We start from the raw sequence: 19,380 nt of genomic DNA on the forward strand, positions 1-19,380 counted from the left end.
GAGCTGCCACTTTCAGCCCTACTGTGCAGTTTTTTTTTTCTTTTTCTTTTTTTGAGACAAAGTCTTAATCTGTCAGTTAGGCTGGAGTGCAGTGGTGCGATCACAGCTCACTGCAGCCTTGAACCCCCTCGGCTCAAGTAATTCTCCCACCTCAGCCTCCAGAGCGGCTGGGACTGTAGGCGTGCAACAGCGCACTGGGCTAATTTTTGTCTTTTTTTTTTTTTTTTTTTGATAGAGATGGGGTCTGTCTTTTTTCTTTTCTTTTTTTTTTTTGGTAAGGAGTCTCGCTCTGTTGCCCAGCCTGGAGTGCAGTGGTGCAATCTTGGCTCACTGCAACCTCTGCCTCCCAGGCTCAAGCGATTCTTATGCTTGAGCCTCCCGAGTAACTGGGACTACAGGCACACGCCACCACACCCGACTAATTTTTGTATTTTTAGTAGAGACGGGGTCATGTTGCCCAGGCTGGTCTCAAACTCCTGACCTCAAGTGATCCGCCTGCCTCAGCCTCTCAAAGTGCTGGGATTATAGGCGTGAGCCACCGTGCCTGGCCCAGATGGGGTCTTTCTGTGTTACCCAAGCTGATCTCAAAGCTAAGCTGGTCTCAAACTCCTGGGCTTAAGTGATCCTCCTGCCTCAGCCTCCCAAAGTGCTGGGATGACAGGTGTGAGCCACTGTGCCAGCCTGTGCAGTGTTTTTAAAAGGATTGGTGTAACAGTAACTTGTGTGAACACATTGATGTGGTCTGGGCCCTTCCCCGCATGAAAGGACTGATGGAATCCTCAGAACTGCAGGCATGTTGAGCGCCAGAAGCAGGGTCCTTGGGTCACTGACAGGCCGGCCTTGGTGAACACGTGCTGCAGAACACTACCTCCAGGTCCTCCCACATGTGGGACGCGGCGATGGCAGAGATAAGAAGGTGATGTGGCAGGAAAATTCTGAATCATACAAGGACGTGTTGTGCAATAGCTGCGTGAGCTCTAGCAGGATGTTCGAGAGAATGTCCTGGGGGCTCTTTGCCATGGGAGAGGGTGTTGCTGTGGGAAGTGTGCTGAGTTGTGTGTTCCTCGGCCCTCTGTGTGGCGCCTGCTTCCAGGCTGTGCGTGAGGCTGGCTTGTTCCGTCCTGGGATGCTGGCAGGAGTGTGGGTCTGTGCATTCCCATATCTTGTGAGGCATGTTCTCAGCATCAGCAGCCCCAGCTCCTTCCTCCTCGTGGTGACTGGGAGGCGAATGGGCCAGGGTGCTGGGTTTCCAAGAACACCTGCCTTGCTCTCTGTGGGGATCCACAGAGAGTTCACGCAGTGGCCCTGTCAGCCCTGAACATGGAGAGCCACTGCATGTGAGGCCTTGGGGGCATGTCTGGAGAGCCTGTCATGGCGTGGAGCTCACCGTACAGTCTCCTGGGACCTTGACAGACCGCACCAGGCCACATCCTGCGCCAATTAAACCCGAACCTCAGGGCTGATCCCGTTGTGGCCAGGAGGAAGAATGGATAATGCTGGGCCTGGGAGGGACCGGGAGGCCGAGTCCGAGGCGAGAGCCATGGGGTGGTGCTTGTTCCGGTTCTCCTGCAGCCGGTCTGTCCATCCTGCCTGCTGTGACTGTTCTCCAGCCACTTTCTCTTTTTCATTTTTCTTGCTGGAAAGCTGTAGAAGGCAGTGGGGTGGGAACGCTCCATCCACAGTGCAGGTTAGAACCTTGGAGGTGATGGCTTCGCCTGGCAGTGAGGTGAACAGAGCCTCCAGCAGTGCCGGGCGTGTAGCCAGGGCAGCTGCAGCAGGAGGACGCCCAGAGCCTTGGCTCTGAACAGATAGAACCATCGAGGCCGAATCGGGCAGTCCTCCTGTTCAGACCAACTGTGTGTCCCTTTTGTGAGACAGCTGGTGACCCCTGCTGGCACATCTGTGTCCCAGCCGTGAGGCGGCCGCTCCCTGTCCATGCCGGCAGTGCACCGTGCCCACGGGAAGCTCGGTGTGGGGGTTTGGAGCAGCAGCACGCTGCGTGACTCCCCAGGTGATGCCAGGGAGATCTGGATAAGGAGGTCCACATCTCCACCTTCATCTTCTTTCCTCAAGTCACTTTTCCTGGCACCTCACTAACCATGAGGTTTCACAGGAACCTTGGGGAGTCCCTTGTGTGCTTGGCCTGGGGACACAGGACTGTGTCGGACTGCTGGGGCCAGAAGGGTTTTTCTAGAGACCAGACCCAAGCAGCTGCTGTCCACCTGCCACGTGTGCCAGCCCCAGCCTTCCTCCCAAGTGAGTGGGGGAGGGAGGCTTCTGGGTGTTGCCGGGACCTGGCCGGGGGCGGAGTGGCTGAGCTGTGCAGGAGAGGATGGGGCGCAGGCATCCACAGGAGCCAGGCTGCCCTGTGGATGTGGCCGTGGAGCCTGCACCTTTCTCCCCCAGTCACTCCAGGGCTTCTCTGAGCCCGCAGCCGGCCAGCTCAGCGGCCCGGGGTTGGAAGGAACGCAACATCCATGCCTGCCTGGCGGTCTCAGCCTCTGAGGAGACGACACAGGGAGCTTTGGACGCTGCAGGTGTCTTCAATATTCATTTTCAAAATATCAGTCTTAAGTCTCAGCGGGGCCTTTTTCTAAACAGACGGTAAATGCAAAACCTCCCCCAGAGCAGCTCTGAAGGCAGCGCGTTTCTCTTCCTCCGTGGTGGGAGGAGGCTGGGCTTTGAGGGCGGGAAGCCCTGGTCGAGGCTGGACCCGCAGCCTGGCCCTCCCCAGGCGATGGCAGCCCCGGCTGACCCACAGCGCTCTGAAGACAGGTCCTCGGACACCCGCCCAGGGGCGCGTTTTCACCTGCGGAGCAGGGGTGCGGGGAACAGCTGGGAGGTGGGGGGGGTCCCAACCGCAGCTGAGCTGGAAGTGCAGAATTTCAACTGGCAGCGAGACTGGGCTTCCCAGAGCCAGGATGAGCCAGGATGTGTGGGGTTACCCTGCCCCCATTTTCCCTCCGCGTGGAGTGGGGCGAGTGAGCGGCTCACGCTTGGCTCTGAAGCTCCCTGGGCACGGGGGGCTGTGACTGGGCCAGGCAGGGGCGGCTCTTCTGGCGGCAGTGACAGAGCTCACGCTGCATCGCTGTGCCCCGGGGAAGACTTCACAGCTATGGATATTTAGGGTCCAGTTCAGTGTGTCACACACCAGAAACTTTAAATTTTTTTCTCAAATGTTCTACTTTAGTTGGCAAAGTATAATTCTTAAAAGTCATGGCGGAGTATTGGGTGCAATCCTCCTGGAGGCAGGAACGGGCTTAGCACCGGCAGGTTCTGGTTGGCCCTTTGCTGCTGTGTGCGTGGGTCCCTTCGTCTCTCCTCTCTCCCTCCAAGGTGGGATGTGGTACCCTGGGAGCACCTGTGCTGAGTCTCTCCTTGGTGTCCAAGGGGCTGGGATGGCCCAGGGTGCACAGGTGTCCCCGGGCAGCCTGCAGATGCTTCTCGACGACACGGCCCCTTTGAGTTCGAAGGTCAGATCTGGAAGCCACGTTGCCACACAACAGCGACTTCGCAGCACTGTCGCCATGTGTCCCGCTCTCTTGCCAGGGTCCAGGCAGCTGGGAAACAGCTTGGTTTGCTGAGAAGCCACGTCCTGGGTGTCCCTGTCCCAGAGCCCTCCTCGCTCCCAGCCTGCAACTGGGGCCTGGTCGGGCGCCCTGGCATGTTTCCTCCTGCTGCAGGCGTGCTCAGGAAGTGCTGTGTGTGCATGGCGCCCGCGGGCATGGCCTGTGTGCTGGGTGCTGTTTTACTTCACTCACGTCATAGAATCGCAGACAGCAGCCCTGCCACCTGTTTGTTCTGCAGGTGAGCACGTGGAGTTCCCAAGGGGAGAACTGGCCCCGGGCTAGGTGACCCCTCTCAGCTCAACAGTTCCATGTGATGCTGAGAGATGTGCGTGCATTCTCCTGGTGCAGCCATCTCAGCAGGGGTCCTGGGGTCCCCTGGCAGGACGCGCGGGCCGGGTGTTGACAATGGGGTGTCATAGGTCAAGCCTCACAGCCTGCGTTTACGGTGCTTGGTTAAATGGTCCCCAAAATCACGTTTCTGTGTTCAAAGTGTGGGGAAATAGGATTGGGGTAGAAGGTGACATCTGAGGCCTGCGCCTCCTCTTGGGTTTGCTGAATTCCAGAAACGATGGAGCCCTGTGGGCGCCGTGCTGTGGCTTTAGGATTTTGTGAGGCTTGCCCTCCCCTCTGGGGACACACAGGCTCCAGGCTGCGAGTTGCCCAGGTCTTGGTGTTCATTGGAGATGAATTTCTGCACTTGTGTGGGGGTCTTCCTTAGGCCAGCATCACCATCGTGGTCTCCAAAGACCAGAGCCTGGCCTGAGGGGACAGCCTGAGAGCAGGTTCCTTCCTGACCTCGGAGCCCGTTCTCTCTGTTGTGGTTGAGCCACATTTGAGCTCCTGGGGGCAGGCCCTGGGCCTGGCACTCAGCACTGGAAGTGGTGTATAGGCCAGTTTAATTGGAGAAGCTCCTGAATGTCTGTCGGTCTGTCAGTCCGTTGGGTTTCAGATGCATTTCAATGGCTGAGTGCTCCTCAGTGCTTGCGGGGAAGCGAGGAGGATGGGGCCGCCCCTGGCGTAAACTCTCTGCTGTGCCACGGGAGGGGTCTGCCTTGCTTTACATCTGCGCAGGGCTCGGGGCCCGAAGTGCTGGGTGCGACAGTCGTTTTAGGCACATTTTAGAGTTTGCGGAGGGACGAGGAATCCCACCACCTGCGGCCTCGCACACTTGCTCCTGGAGCTCTGACGCAGCTGCCTCCCTCACATCCACGCAGTGATTGCCACTCAAACTTTGAGAATCACAGTGGAGAACATTCTGTGAATATTGTTTTCTTGTTTTTATTCCTCAGCGTTCAAAACATTTTTTCCATATTTCTTTTTTTTAATGCATGGCCTTCCAATGACTTTTTCTGTATTTCAAAGATTAATAAAAGCACAACTTTTCAGAGCGTTGAGAAGCCGGCCCGTCTTGGGTGTGTGTGTTGTGCGGGGCCAGAGCTGGAGCTGCACTGGAGTGGCCGGGATGGCCCTGCCTTGGGCGGGGCTGTGGCTCCCGTGGGCGCCGCCGCTGCTGCCACAGATTTATTCCAGCACGAGGCGGAGAGGGGATGTCTTCCGTGTATGGACTCAGGAGGAAATCGCCAACTGGACCCAGAACCTTTCTTCCCCAGGGTGGCTCAGCTGGCTGGTTTTGACAGCGAACTTGTCAGCCCTGACCGTGATTTCAGTGGGGCACACTCACTCTCGGAAGAGGCGTGTTGACTGTGCCAAAGCTGGTGGGGCGGGGAGCCGCTTCTTCCAGGAGAGAGAGAGGGGTGATTTTCTGATGACTCACTTTTTTCCCACTCTTGGAGGATTAAGTTCTGGCCCCAGTGGCGCCACTGAAGAAAGGAGATAACCTCTTTCTCCTGCCCGGAGATGGCGCGTCTGGATTCAGGGAGATCGTGCGGCCAGCTTCCCTCCCTCTGCTCTGGATGGGGGCCGGCCGCCGCCGCTCACTCACGGCTCTCTCTCTCCCGCTGTGCCTGCAGGTGTGGCCGACGACGATGCCCTCGCTGAGGAGCGCATGCGGAGAGGCCAGAACGCCCTGCCAGCCCAGCCTGCCGGCCTCCGCCCGCCGAAGCCGCCCCGGCCTGCCTCGCTGCTGAGACACGCGCCTCACTGTCTCTCTGAGGAGGAGGGCGAGCAGGACCGACCTCGGGCACCCGGGCCCTGGGACCCCCTCGCGTCCGCAGCAGGTGTGCAAAGGGAGGCAGCCGTGGAGCAGGCGCAGAGTGAGACTTCTCTGGGTGCCAGAGGACAGCGAGGACACAAACCGCGCCTGGGCTGCTGTGTTCTGACCTGAGCGGGCGTGGGCGGTCGGGCGGGGCGGGAGGAGGTAGCCTCGCTCTGCTCCTCTCCCGCTCGCGGCGCCCCACGCCACGGTGGCTCCGGGCCCCCCACCGTTAAAACGGGGTCCGCGTGTCCTGTACGCAGCGTGTTGCTCCGCAAAGGATGACAGAGCTGCCACGGCAGTGCGAGGTGCTGCTTTTACCGTAGACGTGCCTTTTCGTAGCTTTCAGCGTAGAGCTTGAGGCCTGTGGCTTAGGCCGGGTGGTCTCGTGCTGGTGGGGTCTGCGTTTGCCCCTGCCCCTCCGTCAGCTTCACCTTCTCGTGCCTTCTTCTGCGCTGGGTGCAGAACAAAAGACCCCCTCAAGTCAAGCCTCCTTGTGAAGCGTAGTCTGCCCGCCCACCCCCCGTGGGGTTCTTGGCCGCCCTGCCCTCCTCCCACCTGTTAGGGAGCCGGATAGTCTCTGAAGTGAGTGCCCCGGAGAAGTTCTGGGTCACCCTGAGGACGTGCTGTGCATGTAGGCTTGGCCCTGACTGCGTCCTAAAGCCCAGGGTCCATGTAGTGTGAATCGTGCGTCAGTTGGAAGTATTTGTGCCTCTTCTGGTTCTTATCACCGCACGCGGTGAGGTGACCCCAGCCGCTCATGTCGTGCAGGAAGACATGGATGGTTGATCCCTGGGTTTGGGGGACCGAAGCGGATGTCGTGAGGTTACTTCTGTGGACTTGGGCCGAACAGCACTGTCTAAGCAGGACATGAAAAGAAGGGGGAAGCGTCTCTCCTTTTCCCTTCATGGAACTTTCCATTGAAAAATTAGCCCCTTCCAGTCCTTCTCGGATGAAGCACAGTTGCCGGTTACGCTTCCGAGGAGGACGGAAGGTGCACCCCCAGCCGTGAGAGCCTCAGGATGTGCCGCCTGTGGGTGGGCACGGCAGCCCCTCCAGCCGGCCGCCCACCTGCCGTGCTGCGCTCACCTTTGCTGTGTGAGTCTGTGCTGTGTCACTGAGTGACAGACAGAGGCAGTTGCAGGCTGCATGCACCCAGAAAGAACTCCCCCTGCACTAAGCGGGCATGGGGGAGGCTCCCCAGGGTCCCTGCACTGAGCGGGGTGGGGGAGGCTCCCCACGGTTCCCTGCACTGAGCGGGGTGGGGGAGACTCCCCACGGTTCCCTGCACTGAGCGGGCGTGGGGAAGGTTCCCAGGATCCCTGCACTGAGCGGGGTGGGGGAGACTCCCCACGGTTCCCTGCACTGAGCGGGCGTGGGGAAGGTTCCCAGGATCCCTGCACTGAGCGGGCGTGGGGAAGGTTCCCAGGATCCCTGCACTGAGCGGGCGTAGGGGAGGCTCCCCAGGATCCCTGCACTGAGCGGGCGTTGGGGAGGCTCCCCAGGGTCTGTTGTGCGCTCCTGGTACTGGAGGGTCTGATGGCCGTAGGGAGGGTGCACTGTTTGTCGATGGGTCTTTGCAAGGTGCAGGATAGAGCAGGGTTGTAGCTGTAGTGTCCCTGAACCACTGGGGTTAGGAGGCCACCGGAAGCCTGGCCTGCTAGGGGCCTTGTGATTTCGCAGGCCCCGAGAACGTGGTGTGCAGGTGCGGGCCGCCTGGGGGAGCCATGTTTAAAGTGCGGTGAGGCTCCTGGAACGGCACCCACCGCAGGCCCGAGGCCACACCTGTATGTCAGAACTGGGCGGGTCTTCTCCTCCCAGGCCTTCAGCGCCTGTGGCTATGGCTGTGGGCGGGACTGATACGGGCAGGCAGGCGCTGTTCTCCCCACGTATTCTCGGCTTCCCCGCCATACACCGTTTCTGAGTGGGGAGAACTGGTTGACTGCTGAATCCCAACACAAATCCTTAGAGCAAAGAGGCCAGTGATGGCTTTTGTTTCTGCCCGGATCCTCTTTGTGGATCTTCCGTTTTGCGGCTTTTCCTCTCATTTGTTTCCTTTTTTTAATCGCTTCATGAGATCTTGAAGATACCAAAGTAACCATCAAAGATTTAAAGACGTGATTTTTATACAAATATATAACGAACACGTCAGAGACTTTTACTTAAGTTCTTACTGAGAGATGACAAAGCTGACTCAAAGGATGAGTCAAGAAACCGCTGCAGAGTTGGAGACAGAACTGGAGTGAAATTGCAAAGCAGGGTGGTTTTGGTCTCTGCAGAGGCCATTTGCGACTCACTCACCAACTCCGGTGTCAGGGTGCTGGTGGGTGACAGGGAAGAGGTTGAGCAAGCCTCCGCCCCTGCAGGCTCGCTCATTATACAATGAGCACCTGCACCACCAAATCCGAACAACTGTACATGCTTACAGAGAAGGGCACGTGCTAGTGTGGGAGTGACAAAGTCACACGGGTGCAGACCCCTTAGCTCCAGCCTGCTGGGTGTTCTGACGAATGGACTTTGTAGCGATAACACAGGCTCCTGAGTCAGGATACTGGTTTGCTGCATTTCTGCGTCACTGAAGGTCTCGCTTTCCCCGAAGCCCCTTGTCACAGAAAACCCATGACTCTTGGCCAGGCCTCTGGGTGCCTGGAAGATCCCACTATCATCTTTTTGTGGGATTTGCATGTCCTGGTCAAGGTTCCTGTAAAAGGAATACAGTGAGGAGACCGGCCACCCGACAGTATTGATGGCCCCCACTTTGGCCTCCAGCCGTCTGACCCGTCCCTGAATCGAGCAGGTCCTGTCGGAGCTCCCAGGAGTGAGCGAGCTTCCACTCACAGGGTCACAGCCAGGTGTGCAGCCCCCAGGCCTGGGCGGTTCTAGGGCATGATTTTTTTTAGGCTGGAAATGAGCTCTCACTTGAGATGCACCCCTCAAAATACTGAACGTACTGCTTCTGTGAGAATTTCCCCTCCTTGTGTCTGGTGTGATTGACAACGGGTGCAGCCAGTGGAAGCAGGAATGTCGGGGAGCGCGGGGTGCAGGGGGTGCCCTGTCACAGTCAGCGGGGAGCGCCTGTCCCTGCTGCGTGGTGTGGGGTTCCCGTGGCTGGCATTTGCTGCTGTGTGGAGTCCTCAAACCCAGCGCTCGCCCTGCCTGCGTTCAGAGGACAGAGGCACCACCGGGAACCCACCGGATCCTCACTCAGGCTTTGGAAAGGCCGAGTGATGTTTTGTGTTTGTGAATTCCACACATACTGTAGGAGTATCAAGAACACGTAACTGTTAAAAAAGGAAAAGTAAAATTACTGAACAGGAAAGAAAGAATAAAGCAGGTCCTTTGTTTTTTTGGCTGAGGAAAGCAGCCTGCCCTGGAACGCTGTAGAATGTCTCCCTTTTTGTGAAGCACAGCATGGAGCTCTCGGAACTGAAGATGGGAATCTAACCCTGCCCTCAGCTTTCAACAGCTCGAAGTTTGTCTTTTTAATGAAACTAATTTGTGTATTTATACTTAAGGGTTTTCAAGTCCTTAAACTTGATAAGAAAACTTAAGTCGTTTTCTATCAGGACAAGTTTTTAAGTAGTCACTGGTGGGAGAGCGTGCCTCTGTGGACTGTGCCCAAGGCTGGCGGTCCCACGAAGTCCCAGAGCCCGCGAGCCGGTGCCCAAGGCCATGTCTGTGATTTGCAGGAGGTTCAGGTGACAGGAAGGCCTGCTCTGTTTTTCTCACTTCAATTTTGGACTTTTTTTTTTTTTTTTTTTTTTTTGAGACAGTCTCGCTCTGTCGCCCAGGCTGGAGTGCAGTGGCGTGATCTCGGCTCACTGCAACCTCTGCCTCAAGGGTTCCAGCGATTTTCCTGCCTCACCTCCCCAGTGGCCGGAACTACAGGTGCTTGCCACCACTTCTGGCTCATTTTTGTATTTTTAGTAGAGATGTGGTTTCTCCATGTTGGACTGGCTGCTCTCGAACTCCTGACCTCAGGTGATCCCCCCGCTTCAGCCTCCCAAAGTGCTGGGATTACAGGCGGGAGCCACCGCGCCCGGCAATAGTGGAGGCTTGAAGAACACCGGAAAGTGGTTTCCTTGTACCGGACCCGCCCCTCCCCCACCATCCCGGCAGCCCCAGGGCGGGTGAGGGCGACTGCAGTGTGGTCACCTCAGGCTTTCCGTCCCTAGCTCATAAAGGCCCAGTGGCAGCAGTTGCTTTAAAGGAGCTCCGTTACTCCCTTTGTTCTGGGGTCTTGGTAAAGTTTGCTTTGCTGAAGCGGAGGAACCGCAGGCGGTGCTGACCCCCCCACCCCGCCCCCATCCCACGGGGTCCCTTGGGTCCCGGGGCACGAGGCTCCTCTGAGGGACACGGCCTCCAAGAGCTGGCTCTGCCCTGGCCGCCCTCCACAGTCACGGCGGCTCCCCGCATGCTCCTCGGGACGGAGATCTCCTGGCTTCCTCCCGCTTCCTTTCCTCTGCGTTTTCCGCAGAGCCGCCTCCCTGCTTTGGAAGCAGGTACTCAGCGGCCTCTGCAGCCGCCAACGGCACACAGGCCTCTCTCTGTTCGTTCTTTCTTTCCGTAACCGTAGCTTGAGGCACATTTCCTAAATATGCAGCATGGAACGCTTGGCGGTTCTGAACGCGCATCTCGTGCTGCTCCTGTAGGGCGGTTAGGACGCGCTCCTCTGGCGAGGAAGGTGGCAGCCTCCACTGTGCACGGGTCACAGGCGAGTGTGGTGTGGTGTGGTTGTGGGTGGGGTGTGGACTGGATCTGCAGGCTTGTCCCTCTCTCGTGGAGAGCTGTCGGGGTCCAGGCAGTGCTCAGTGGTGAGAGCCACAGCACATTTGAAAGTCCACATGTGTTTGCCCCACTGTGGTCCAGGACATGTGTGAGCCACACTCAGTGGACTTGCACCTGTGACATGTTGGTCAGCGTGGCGGCCGTCAGCTGGGTGTGGAATGCATCTGATTGGAGCCTGGCACCCGGCCTACCATGATTGTGATTCTCTGGGGCGAGTCCTGAGTGTGGGCAGGGCCTCAGGCCCCCAAGAGGGCTGTGAGCAGGCACCTTCCTGTGAGGCACGATGCCACCATGTGAAGTTGTGTGGGTCTTTGGAGAGTTCTGGCAGGTTGAGGGCCTGTGCGTGTGGGACCCAGGCCTGCCCTGCCTGCTGCCGGCCATGTTCCCTCTGCCCAGTCATGTTGACAATTGTGGCCAAATTCAACATCGGGCCTGTTTCCTGCACCCACGTTGGCACACACTGAGTTCAAGACAGTTTCTGCAGAAATGAATCCAGAGGTGTTTATTTCTGGCACGTTGGATCAGACGTTCAGAGGGTGGGCGTCTTTCTCCATGCACTTCAGCTGGATCAGTCAGTGTCAGCCATTGACTTTAGCAACAGGGAAATGAAAGACTTTCCTCAATAAGAAATGGGACTTTCTCACGCTGGATGGCACAGAGCTGGCAAACATGAGGCCAGTCCACACCAAGGCTTTGCCTGCAGAAAGGCTGCACTGTGGCCAGCGGGGGAAGCGGAGGAGACACCTGTGGACACCCTCCCCACAGGTGGGCACACCTTTGCGCAGGCCCAGTGTGCGTTCTGAAGGAGAGCCCAGGGTGGGGTTCCGGGACTGAGGTGCAGCCGTGTCCAGGGTGGGCTTCTAGCTCTGCCGCTGGGCGGAACTGGGGTAGGTCCCAGGGTGGGGTTCCAGGACTGAGGTGCAGCCGTGCCCAGGGTGGGCTTCTAGCTCTGCCGCTGGGCAGAACTGGGGTAGTCCCAGGGTGGGCTTTTAGCTCTGCCGCTGGGCGGAACTCGGGTAGGTGGGAGTCCTCACTTCTCTGCAGGGTGGTGAAGCTCTCTGGGTAGTGTGAGCAGTTCTCAACGTGCACCTTGGAAAGCGCCCGTTTTGAGGTTTAGCTGTGGCCAAGATAGATGACTTCATTTTGTTGCTTTTTGTTCTTAACATGGGGAGATATTTAGAAAACATGTTTGGCTCTTGCTGGGGAAGCAGTGCTGTTCCGTACAGTGTTTTACAAGCCGTGTTTCCTTAGGATTGAAAGAAGGTGGCAAGAGGAAGAAGCAGAAGCAGAGAGAGGAGTCGAAGAAGAAGAAGTCGACCAAAGGCAATCACTAGACCGGACTTGAGGCACGCGGTGCACCCCCAGACGCTGGCGCTCCACCGTGCTCGGCATGCGGTCGTGCACACGCGCTAGGTAGCAGCGTCGGTCAGGACTGTCTCGAGGCCACACTCGCTCGGCAGGATTATGCGATCACGGATCAGTCAGAGCAGGGTCAGGAGACGGGGCTGACGGCACGGGTGGCGGGGACAGACGTTTGGGACTTGGCCGCGACTCTCTGCTTCTCTCCAGCTCTCAATCTGCTGCATTTTCCTCTAGTGCTTCCGGATCCTCTTCATTCTTTTCGGCTACTCAACCACTCCGCATGCTGCTGGAATATTTCTGGCTTTAGAAGTACAGGAGGGCGCAGATGGCTAACTGAGTAACATTCATGAAATGAGGCTTTCTGTGGCGGCGTAGTGTTTGGAATTAGAAGGTAATTCAGTAGAGTGTAACTTAGAGAATATTGCAAGTGACACATTGAATCCTGCCCGTCAGGGCACCTTTTCCTCAGAGCAATCCGGCCACACGAATAGAAGGCTGTCGTGAATCACATCAGATGTAAAATCATTCCTTCTGTTTACTCTTTTAATTTTCATCCTTTGCAGGTAGTGCAAATTCAACTTCAAATATGGTGTAGGTTTTGCTAGATTCCATATTTTTTTCTTGGATTTTTGCTAATTATTTTTAGCAAAAAATTTTTGCTCAGTGGCACTCTCCCTAGTGTCCATGGGTTAGGGCCATGCTGGGGAAAACGGGCCGGTATTTACACACGCGCAAAACACCCAGAGACGGCACAAGGAGGTTGAACTCATGTTTCAGTTCGCGAACATTGACTCCTTACGAAAGTCACTTCATTCTAACTAGATGCGCCCACTTCCGGTCATTATTTCGTTTGCATGATGTATTGCTTCTTCACGTTTTGTTTTTATTGAGCACGGAGTAGAATTCCAGGGCTGCCTTGACTTCTTCCCTGCATGCTCCCTCCCAGTGACTTTCCTTCCCTTTCACATGAGGATCTGCCGTTCATGTTGCTTTCTCCTTTGTCCTCTTGGACTTGAGGGCATTGTGAAAAGCTTTGCTGTGATTTAAAAATGCCAGCAATTTTAATCTAGCAGTGTTGAAGCTGGGAATTTTTTGGCGCAATCCATGTAGCAGTGACCCAGGCTTGGGAGCCAGAAACAAGTGTGACCTGGGATTTTATTTAACACAACTGTTGCCAAAGAGTTGGCTTTGTTTATTTGGTTTTGGCGGGGAGAGGAGTGGTATTTGATGCTTTCTGTGGACAATGTAACCCTAAACACATCATGTATTTTAAATGCCACCTACATAAATAAAACATAAGCATATTGAATACAGCTCGCCTGCTGTCCTTTGTAAGCGCCAGTAAGTTGCACCGTTAAGACTGACTAGAAATAAAAGCAATTCTTCAACATTACGATTACAAAGGATGAAAGTGGTGTTTTGCAGGCAGAAGCCTTGCTTCCGAAATGCGTCACTGTAAGGCGAAAACATGACTTTAAAGCTAACACCCCCGGCTGGGCAAAGTGGCTCACGCCTGTAATCCCAGCACTGTGGGAGGCCAAGGTGGGCAGATCACCTGAGATCAGGAGTTCAAGACTAGCCTGGCCAACATGGTGAAACCCCATCTCTACTAAAAATACAAAAAATTAGCCGGGTGTGGTGGCACACGCCTACAATCCCAGCTATTCGGGAGGCTGAGGCACGAGAATTTCTTGAACGAGGGAGGCGGAGCTTGCAGTGAGCCAAGATCGCACCACTGCACTCTAGCCGGGAGACAGAACGAGACTCCGTCTCAAAAAAAAAAGGCCGGGCACGGTGGCTCACGCCTGTAATCCCAGCACTTTGGGAGGCCGAGGCGGGTGGATCACGAGGTCAGGAGATCCAGACCATCCTGGCTAACACGGTGAAACCCCGTCTCTACTAAAAAATACAAAAAATTAGCCGGGCGTGGTGGCGGGTGCCTGTAGTCCCAGCTCCTTGGGAGGCTGAGGCAGGAGAATGGCGTGAACCCGGGAGGCAGAGCTTTCAATGAGTCCAGATTGCGTCACGGCACTCTAGAGAGAGCGAGACTCTATCTCAAAACAACAACAACAACAAAAAAGTAACACCCCAACGCACAGATGAGGTGGAAACTCCCGCAGCCTTCACAGGAGGCATTGAGGGTCCCGAGAGGAAAACCTCGTCGACTCACCCTGGCTCTGCTGGCGACCAAGACTGGGCCAGACACGCGCTCAGTGCTGACATCCTGGCGTCCGGCCTTCCTGGTGACAGGGGAAGGCGGTGCAGTAAGTCGCCTTGCGGGCCGGGGTCGGGGGTGTTTTTAAAACAAGATTAGTCCTTCTCAACTGCTCAGATCCCAGAATCTGCTGCTGAGATTGTGGCGAGGGAGGCAGGTGGTTCGACAGGTTTAGAGGTGACTGTTGTGCCCTCAACCCTGCCCACTTGACCCTCAGGCCGTCCCAGGAGCGTGGCCGGGCTGCCTCAGCAGGGGCACAGCTAGGGAGCGTGGACAGAGCCGCGAGCGCCTTCCAGACAAGCCAGGCCACACACAAGACAGGCTCTTGGCAAAGGGGCCAGAGCCCCGTCTTCACACGGCCTGGCTACCGAGTCAGCTCATGTCACAGGTGGGTCCTCCCTTCGCTGAGAGGGAGAGACCCCGACCCCAGGAGGAGAAGGGAGCTGGTGTCCATGGGGCCCGGCAGGTGCATGGCCAGCAGGTAGGCATCTGCTTCTCAGGTGAGGAGGGGTATTGGGGTCTACCCGACCCCTGCGCCCAGCGCCCCATCCCCCTAGGGCGGGTCCAGGAGCTCTGTGCTGCAGATAGAGCCCGCGGCTGCTTATGCCAGCGTCTGCTGAGGGGGTGGATGCTGCAGATAGAGCCCGCGGCTGCTTATGCCAGCGTCTGCTGAGGGGGTGGAGAGGGAGCCCGGCCCCTGGGTGTGCTCGGCAGCTGCTGAGATGATGGCAAGGGGGAGCGCGGCACCTGTCGTCGTCACCTTTGTGACGTCCCAAGCACTGGGGGGCCCTGCGGGGGGTGGGGAAGGCAGTGAGGTGCTGGTGGGTGGGAGGCAGGGGGGCTGTGGACGGTGTGGCAGGGACTGCAGTTGTGGGACTGGGGTGGGGAGTCCTGGGGGTGTCAGGACCACAGTGGGGCTTCCTGGCCACCCCACTGCCAATCCCAGGGCCACCCTGTACGCCATTCACTTTTGTCAGGGGCATAAAGGGCTGCAGAACCCACTTTCTGTAAGTAAATACATTTAAACATCCTGAAACGTTCACACCCTAACCCTAACCTGGGGGTCCCACGTGCCTTCCCTCATGTGGGTTGCACAGCTGGAGACAGAACCAGGACGTGGCGCCGTCACCAGGGAGAGCTCTCTGCTCTTTTGTTCATAGGCCTGGAAAAGTGGGACCATGACGTGAATAACCACACCTGTGTTTAACACATTTTGTTTTGTTTTTGTTTGTTTGTTTTTTTGCAATGGAGTCTCACTCCGTCACCTAGGCGGGAGAGCCGTGGCACCGTTATCACACCTCAGAAAATTAGTAATTCCCCCATGCCAGCTACTTCTCAGTCCATTTTCAGAAACTATTTACTTTTATTCTTTTCTTTTTTGAGGCAGAGTCTCACTTTGGCACCCAGGCTGGAGTGCAGTGGTTCAATCATAGCACACTGTACCTTGATCTCCTGGGCTCAAGCGATCCTCCCACCTCAGCCTCCCAACATGCTGGGGCTACAGCTGTACCACCATGCCTGGCTAATTTTTAAATTTTTTATAGAGACAGGATTTCACCATATCATCCAGGCTGGTCTCAAACTCCTGGGCTCAAGCAATCTGCCTGCCTCAGCCTCCCAAAGTATTGAGATTACAGGCGTGAGCCACTGTGCCTGGCCCGTAATTTTTTTGTTTGTTTTTTTTTTTTTTTTTTTTGCAGGAGACTGGAGTTTTATTGTTACTCAAATCAGTCTCCCCGGGCTGTGATGTTTTTAAACTAGACTTCAGTCAAGACTACACATTGCATTTAGTCGTCACGTGTATTAGGTCTCTGTACGCTTTTACCTTTTATTATGAAAAATCTTAATGTCCAAATTGTGTGCTTGGAACAGGTAACTGTAGAAATGAATCCCTCTCCCTGGCCCAGAGGTGCACAGCGCCCGCCCCTCTTGTGTATCTGCACCCCCTCCCCATCATGTTTTTTTGTTTTTGTTTTTGTTTTGAGACAGAGTCTTGCTCTGTGGCCCAGGCTGGAGTGCAGTGGTGTGATTCGGCTGACTGCAACTTCTGCCTCCTGGGTTCAAGCGATTCTCCTGCCTCAGCCTCCGGAGTAGTGGGGACTACAGGCGCCCGCCACCGTGCCCGGCTAATTTTTGTATCTTTAGTAGAGACGGGGGTTTCACCATATTGGCCAGGCTGGTCTCGAACTCCTGACCTCAAGTGATCCACCTGCCTCGGCCTCCCAAAGTGCCGGGATTATAGGCGTGAGCCACCGCACCCGCCATCATGTTTTGAAGTAAGTCCTGGGCTATGCATGACTTCATCTGTCAATATCTGACCTGCCTTTCCTCCAAATTTCTTAGCTGGAATTCTGTAAAGACGGATTTTCCCTTATCCACTGCTTGGGTCCCAGAGGTACAGTTTCTGCTTCAAAAGGCCCCGCACATTCTTGTTTTTCCCGAGTCCCAGTGTCTAGAGCCACTGGCTGGCTCCCTGGCTCCTCCGAGGACCCCGAGGTGACCAGCGGCTCTGTTAGTTCCATCGTGAGCCCACAAGCTGTGATCGCACTTGTGGTGTTTCACGGTTGAGGCCATTGCCCTTGGAAGCTCGGATGGCCGCATCCTGGGGCGACAGACTCCTCGGTGCCTGCAGTTCGTGCTGGCCTCAGGGCCTCGGCTGCTCTGGGTCCTGCCTGGAGACCCCAAGGCTGCCTCTGTGGACGGAGGGAGAGAGTATTTTTTAAAGAGAAAATTCATATTAGGATATATAATATAAAGAATTTATATTAATATTTCCAGTTCAAATTTAGGATTACAGGGTTTTCACTATTTAGATTTTATATCAGATTTTTTTCTTTTACTCTGAGAATTTGAATTTTTTTTTTTTTTTTCAGATGGTCTCGCTGTGTCACCCAGGCCGGAGTGCAGTGGTGTGATCTCGGCTCACTGCAACCTCCAACTCTCGGGTTCTAGTGATTCTCCTGCCTCAGCCTCCCGAGTAGCTGGGATTACAAGTGCCCACCACCACGCCCGGCTCACTTTGTATTTTTAGTACAGATGGGATTCTACCATATCAGCCAGGCTGGTCTCAAACTCCTGGTCTTAGGTGATCCACCCGCCTCGGCCTCCCACAGTGCTGGAATTACAGGTGTGAGCCCACCACGTCCAGCCAGATTTTTAGTTCTTAATACATAACATAGTTACTTATTTGACATATAGAAAATTTGATATATAGAAAATATAATAATTTAAAAATTTAAAAAAATTTTTAAAATTCAGAGAGAGCTCTTCGATCCTTTTTCTCTTTCTTTCTTTCTTTTTTTTTTTTTTTTTTTTGAGACGGAGTCTCGCTCTGTCGCCCAGGCTAAAGTGCAGTGGTGCGATCTCGGCTCACTGCAACCTCCGCCTCCCAGTTCAAGCGATTCTCCTGCCTCAGCCTCCCGAGTAGCTGGGATTACAGGCATGCACCACCACGCCCAGCTAATTTTTGTATTTTTAGTAGAGACGGAGTTTTGCCACGTTGGCCAGGCTGGTCTCGAACTCCTGACCTCAGGTGATCCACCCGCCTCGGCCTCCCAGTGCTGGGATGACAGGGGTGAGCCCCCGCGCCCGGCCCCATGGTTGTTCTCAGGCTGTGACACTGGGATGCATAAATCTTGAGATAATCCCTCTTGGTGTGGCTAAGCCAACAACTCCGTAGACCCTTAGCTTCATTTATTTTCTTTTACTTTCAACGTCTAGGATTTAAGAAATGTTTGCTGTAAATATGTGCATGGTTCCAAAGCAGAATTCACAAACAAGGCGCCCTCAGGGGAGTCCGGCTTCCGCACCTGCCCCAATGGGCTTTCATTTCCATTTGTTTTTATTTCCTTCCATTTCAATACATTAAACATAAACAAAAGTTACTTTTATTTATAACTTAATTACATAATATTTAAATAAACATGAGGCGATCCTTCACTCCCGCCTTTGCTTTTCCTTCCTGGGCGTCTGGAGGGCCGTGCGCCTCACCGGCAGACCTGCCGCATTCCGGACCTGCCCCTGCCCCCGCCCCGAGTTGCTCACCTGGATCCTCTGCCCCCTGTGCAGGTCCTGGGGGCCGTAGGACCTGCAGTCACACATCTGGGCCCAGCACAACCCGTGCGTGGGGCAGGAGACGCGGGCACCTCCTCCTGTGTGGCGGAGCCCCGTGCGCACCTGGCGGTCCTGCTGGAGACGCTGAGTGCAGTCACCGTAGGGGTGCTGGGGCCATGCTCCTCCAGGGTGTGGAGGGTCTCTCACCTCTGTGCTGGCCCTTCCACTCTCAGAGACTGGTAGCTCGTTCATCTCCCGCTGCCTTGCTATGCAGCGGCATCTGGGGTCTGGACTACCATTCGTGAGTGGCTGCAGAACGCCGGCCTCCTCATCCTGTTACTCATCCTGCCTTTATCAGCTTGATGTCTTCCGAAAAGAAGCCTTCCCGAGTTGAGCACGGTGGCTCATGCCTGTCATCCCAGCACTTCGGGAGGCTGAGGCAGGAGGATCCCTTGAGCCCAGGAGTTCCAGACCAGCCTGGGCAACTGAGTGAGACCCTGTCTCTACAAAAAACATAAAAAAGTTAGCCGGGTGTGGTGGCACACACCTGTAGCTCCAGCTACTCGGAGGCTGAGGTGGGAGGATCGCGTACACCCAGCTGTGATCATGACACTGTGCTCCAGCCTGGGCAACAGAGTGAGACCACCCTATCTAAAAAAAAAAGTCTTCCCTTATTGACTGGGCATTTGCTTGTACTGAAATGTACCTTCTACCCCAGATGAAAAGTATTAATTAACTGGAGTACATTGAGGGCCAAGCCCCAAGAGAAAGCTGCGTCACCAGGGAGCATTCGAAGGAGGAGGTCACCGTCTGCTTGGAGAAGAGGCACTCACTTTATTAACTTTAAATATTTTATTCCTAAATTTTGGAAGTAAAATCAACATACAGGGAATACCTGATCATTGGTAGAAAAACCAGAAATGCAGATATGAAAACAAAGAAATGATCCCTGCCACCTGGAGACCTTGTCTTGGTGGACACACAGCAGTCTGTGCTTTACCCAACGATATGCTGGGAAAGACATCGCATCAGGAAATATTTCCATGAATATTTTCGTGGCACAGAATTCCTTTGTACCGAGATGACTTCATCACAGCCCAGTGCCGTTCTTACTCCTGCGGGCTGACTTCCTGCAGGCGGAAATCCTGTTTTATTTTTTTGCCACTTCTGGGGAGGTTCTTGTTCCTACAGGGTCCCACAGGGTCCCTTCCTGGACTTGTCTGTTGTCTTTGGGGCGGATT

At 55.4% G+C, this 19,380-nt stretch overlaps 1 protein-coding gene across 10 annotated transcripts in view, besides 4 other annotated features; it reads left to right on the plus strand.

Annotated features, from left to right (window-relative positions):
* The window catches only part of DNAJB6 (DnaJ heat shock protein family (Hsp40) member B6), an 80,436-nt gene extending 67,252 nt beyond the window's left edge, over window positions 1–13,184 (plus strand). For 5 of the 10 annotated variants that reach the window (NM_058246.4, NM_001363676.1, XM_047419698.1 and 2 more), the window contains 2 exons: window positions 5,540–5,746; window positions 11,761–13,184. In NM_058246.4, the coding sequence (NP_490647.1) occupies window positions 5,540–5,746; window positions 11,761–11,843 (290 nt within the window). In that variant the 3' untranslated portion in view covers window positions 11,844–13,184. Of the gene's footprint in view, window positions 1–5,539; window positions 10,433–11,760 lie in introns of those variants that run through there. The other 5 variants (XM_005249516.3, XM_047419695.1, XM_011515704.2 and 2 more) reach the window with 3 other exon arrangements.
* Window positions 1,606–2,275: an enhancer, noted in NCBI's record as "H3K4me1 hESC enhancer chr7:157198555-157199224 (GRCh37/hg19 assembly coordinates)". NCBI's record gives its function as "activates a minimal SCP1, AML or CMV promoter by ChIP-STARR-seq in primed H9 embryonic stem cells {active_cell/tissue: H9 hESC(primed)}" and the evidence as "EXISTENCE:reporter gene assay evidence [ECO:0000049][PMID:30033119]".
* Window positions 4,132–5,131: an enhancer, noted in NCBI's record as "H3K4me1 hESC enhancer chr7:157201081-157202080 (GRCh37/hg19 assembly coordinates)". NCBI's record gives its function as "activates a minimal SCP1, AML or CMV promoter by ChIP-STARR-seq in primed H9 embryonic stem cells {active_cell/tissue: H9 hESC(primed)}" and the evidence as "EXISTENCE:reporter gene assay evidence [ECO:0000049][PMID:30033119]".
* Window positions 5,132–6,131: an enhancer, noted in NCBI's record as "H3K27ac-H3K4me1 hESC enhancer chr7:157202081-157203080 (GRCh37/hg19 assembly coordinates)". NCBI's record gives its function as "activates a minimal SCP1, AML or CMV promoter by ChIP-STARR-seq in primed H9 embryonic stem cells {active_cell/tissue: H9 hESC(primed)}" and the evidence as "EXISTENCE:reporter gene assay evidence [ECO:0000049][PMID:30033119]".
* Window positions 6,132–7,129: an enhancer, noted in NCBI's record as "H3K27ac-H3K4me1 hESC enhancer chr7:157203081-157204078 (GRCh37/hg19 assembly coordinates)". NCBI's record gives its function as "activates a minimal SCP1, AML or CMV promoter by ChIP-STARR-seq in primed H9 embryonic stem cells {active_cell/tissue: H9 hESC(primed)}" and the evidence as "EXISTENCE:reporter gene assay evidence [ECO:0000049][PMID:30033119]".

Source organism: Homo sapiens, chromosome 7 (genome assembly GCF_000001405.40).
Source record: "Homo sapiens chromosome 7, GRCh38.p14 Primary Assembly".
NCBI classification, from domain to species: Eukaryota; Metazoa; Chordata; class Mammalia; order Primates; family Hominidae; genus Homo; species Homo sapiens.